Source organism: Homo sapiens, chromosome 3 (genome assembly GCF_000001405.40).
Source record: "Homo sapiens chromosome 3, GRCh38.p14 Primary Assembly".
NCBI lineage: Eukaryota > Metazoa > Chordata > Mammalia > Primates > Hominidae > Homo > Homo sapiens.
Window position 1 is genome coordinate 30,039,814 of NC_000003.12, and position 4,769 is coordinate 30,044,582.

Genomic DNA, 4,769 nt, shown 5'->3' on the forward strand with positions numbered 1-4,769 from the left:
ACCATGCTATTTTGGTTACTGTAGCCTTGTAGTATATTTTGAAGTTGAGTAATGTGATACCTCCAGCTTTGTTCTTTTTGCTTAGGATTGTCGAGGCTACACGGGCTCTTTTTTGGTTCCATATGAATTTTAAAATAGCTTTTTTCCATAATACCTATGTCAATGGTAGTTTAATGGGAATACCAATGAATCTATAAATTACTTCGGGGAGTTTGGCCATTTTGACAATATTGATTCTTCCTATTTACGAACATGAAATGTTTTTCCATTTGTTTCCTCTCTGATTTCCTTGAGCAATGCCTTGAGTAGTTCTCCTTGAAGAGGCTCTTCACTTCCCTTGTTAGCTGTGTTCCCAGATTGGCACCACATGGCACTTACTCGAAAATTGATCACATACCTAGAAGTAAAACACAGCAAATGCAAAAGAACTGAAATCACAAGGAACCATCTCTCAGACTACAGCATAATCAAATTAGAACTTAAGATTAAGAAACTCACTCAAAACCACACAACTATGTGGAAATTCAGCAACTTGTTCCTGAAAGAGTCCTGGGTAAATAATGAAATTAAGGCAGAAATCAAGAAGTTCCTTGAAACTAATGAGAACAAAGAGACAACATACCAGAATCTTTCGTATGCCGCTGAAGCAGTGTTAAGCGGGAAATTTATAACATTAAATGCCCACATCAAAAAGCTAGAAAGATCTCAAATCGACACTCTAACATCACAACTGAAAGAACTAGAGAACCAAGAGCAAACAAACCCCAAATCTAGCAGAAGACAAGAAATAACCAAGATCAGAGCAGAACTGAAAGAGATATAGACATGAAAAAGACTTCAAAAAATCAACAAATCCAGGAGCTTGTTTTCTGGAAAAAATAAATAAATAAAATAGACTGCTAGCTGGACTAACAAAGAAGACAAGAGAGAAGAATCAAATAGGCAAAATAAAAAATGATAAAGGTGATTTCACCACTGACCCTCAGAAATACAAACAACCATTGGAGAATACTCTAAACACCTTTATGCAAATAAACTTGAAAATCTAGAAAAAATGGATAAATTTCTGGATACGTACACCCTCCCAAGACTGAAGCAGAAAGAAGTTCAATCCCTGAATACCAAGAGCGAGTTCTGAAATTGAGGCAGTAATATATAGCCTACCAACCAAAAAAAGCCCAGAAAAAGACAGATTTACAGCTGAATTCCACCAGAGGTAGAAAGAGGAGCAGGTACCATTTCCTCTGAAATTATTCTAAACAATTGAAAAGAAAGGACTCCTCCCTAACTCATTTTATGATGCCAGCATCATCCTGATACCAAAACCTGGCAGAGATACAACAACAATAAAAGAAAACTTCAGGCCAATATTCCTAATGAACATCAATGTAAAAATCTTCAATAAAATACAGGCAAATGGAATCCAGCAGCACATCAAAAAGCTCATCCACCATGATCAAGTTAGTTTTATCCCCGGATGCAAGGCTGGTTCAACATATGAAAATCAATAAATGTAATTTATCGTAAACAGAACTAAAAACAAAAACCACGATCATCTTGATGGACACAGAAAAGGCCTTCGATAAAATTCAACATCCCTTCATATTAAAAACTCTCAATAAACTAGGTTTTGAAGGAACATACCTCAAAATAATAAGAGCCATATAGGACAAACCCACAGTCAATATCATACTGAATTGGCAAAAGCTAGAAACATTCCCTTTGAAAATCAGCACAAGACAAGATTGCCCTCTCTCACCACTCCTATTCAACATAGTATTCGAAGTTCTGGCCAGGGCAATCAGGCAAGAGAAAGAAATAGAAGTTACTCAAATAGGAAGAGAGGAAGTCAAATTGTCTGTTTACAGATGACATAATCCTCTATCTAGAAAACCCCATTGTCTCAGTCCAAAAGCTTCTTAAGTTGATAAGCAACTTCAGCGTAGTCTCAGGATACAAAATCAACGTGCAAAAATCACAAGCATTCCTATATACCAACAACTGACAAGCAGAGAGCCAAATCATGAATGAACTCCCATTAACAGTATTATTTATGAATAGGGCCCAAACCTACAATGGTTGTGAAAATGGGCAAACATGCTGCAAATCAAGCTTGCATTCACAATAGGTCTCATTTTTGGTGGTGGTGTTATTTTACTTGTTTGTTTGTACAACATCATTTCCAATGATTCCATTTAAGTAGGCATTTCTCTTACTGGTAGTAAATTTTAGATTATGTGGTTAAAAACACCAAACAAGTCATAAGACTAAGTTATCAAAGACAAAGTTTAGAAATGTTACTACTTCTAAAACTATGGAATTGGGAATTACCAGAATTCTTTTTAATAATTTTTTTTAAAGCACACCTCAAAAATGTATCTATAGAAGCCTCAAATTCTGAACAAATCAACATAGGATGAATATTCAAAAGTAGGGGACTTTCTATTCATTGAAAAATCAAAACAAAACACACACACGCACACACACCCCCCAAAACAGCTGGCATTACACTTCATGGAAGTCTTTCAAATCCTAGGACACATCTGTCTAAAATGAATCTAGATTTCTTTGAACATTGACACTTGGTTTTAAGGATTAAGAGACACGATAGTGATTCTGTTCCACCAGAGGGCACCACAGACTACAATCCAGCAAGCGTGCTTGTGGGTCTGGGTACATAAACTCAATAATTTAAAGCAGCTACTTCTAGGCTTTGCATTTTTCTAACATAGAGAGATTTTTAACTTCAACAATGAGTATTATTGATTTTTCAATAAGGTAGGATTTATTTTAAACACATTAATTTCACTATACACTTCTGAAATTTTTACCCCCACATGGAAAACAAACAAAAATAAAATGGAAACAGTAGCTTAATCTTACATGTATATGTGTACTTCCATGAGGTTATTTATTTCCAAGTCCGGTAATGGAAAGCTGTTTTAGATACAGTAACTCTATGACAAAGTCCACCTAAAATTTTGCCTCTTGGGATTCATCTGGGAAAAGTATTTGGAATTTGTGGGTTCTGTAGAACAGGTTCTAATATCCAAGGAAACTACAAGAAGCAAGGCTTTCCCCTCCAGATGTTTCTTAGCACTAGAAATAAAATGTGTCCTTCCATTTCCAACTCAGTAGGGCTTTGAGAAACTCCTGCCGCCTTCAGCACAGAGGATGCCCCAGCCCATCGCCTATTGAAAATCCAGGCTTTGCCTCAAATCTCTGACAATCAAATGCTTTCAAGCTATTCTTTAGTTTGCTTCAAATGCTGGGCCTATAAAGACAGATTTACTTATATTCCCTTTGTACTCTGAGGAGCAAATTTTATCAGCTGAAAGCTCGCTTGCAGTCTCCTTTGAGTGTTCAGTAAGCCAAACTGCTTGTGAAGTATAACCCCCATGACTGCTTTCCACAGACTGATTAGGACTGAAATAGTGAATTTGAAAATGCAGCACCAGTTGAAATTCATGGGCTGACAGAGGATCACAGCTGATCATAATTTCTCATGTGAAAATGTGATTTCCCTCCCCCTGTTTCCTCTTGGTAAGCTGCTGAAAAGTATTAAGTGAGTTTCCTAGCCTGTGGTCAGGGATGTCTGCACTTGTGCTGCTGGGGAGACACAATTAGGAGGAACAAAGGTATCAGAACTCCAGGCTCTGACTTTTTAGGCTTACCAAGAGATAGCTTTCAGGCCTATGAACTGATGAATCCTATACCAAGGGGTGCAGGAGGAGGGAAGCAAATACTCTTAAACAGCTTAAGCCTCTCCCCTAGTTTAATATATTTTCCACAATCACTTTGGATAACAACATGATCTTGTATCTAATGCTATCTCACAGACAACACAGCTTTGAGGCTGAGTGGTCATCGAAATCCTGAAAGCGCCCTCCCACCTTCCCGGAGACTCTGGATAGTTACCCTAATTGTTTCTATTTTTATATAGCAATTAACAAATTACTAAAATTTGTTAAGAGAGTAAGTCCGAATGTTAAATGTTGCTACCAAAAAAACTGAAACAAAGGAATATAAGAAAAATAAATATTTTATAATTTTAAAAAATTATTAAACCATTTAAATATATAACTAAATGGATATTCCACAGAGCATTTAATTACTTTGTTAGCAAACATAATTTTTCTTCTGGCTCCCCTCCCCTTTCCCACAATATCATGTTTTTCTTATTCTAATCCTGCCCAATGCTACACTATTTTACATTTTCTACAAAATCTAAATCCTCCCCTTACAAAATTTAATTTTATGAGAATTCCTGCCTGCTACATGTTTGAGCGATTTAATGGGGAACATGGCCTCTCACACTGGGGCCCCAGATTAACGTAAATAGTAAATAGAATTGGCAAGTTGTAATTGATAATTCAAAACTCTTGGTATGGGCATTCAGTCTGAGTAAAGCAGTATATTCTTTTGCACTGGAATTACAGAAAACCAGTGTGCTTACATTGATCAGAATCTATTTGGTAATTAAGTGTTTCTGACTCATATAAATAGGAAACGAAATGGTTACTAAGAAAATATATGGAGTTCTCCATCACCCATTCATCCCTACTCTTCTAATTGCTCTCTGGCCCTCCTTCCCTTCAAAGTATTTAAGGATTTGAAAGAGATGTTTGTTATTCATTCATACTTCTCATTTCCCACTTTCTCCACAACCCCCAGAGATTGATTCCTGCTTCCAAACCTACTTAATCCTTGTATGTGAAAGCTACCAATGACTTTCTAGTTGCCAAGATCAACATAGAAAAGTTTTCCTG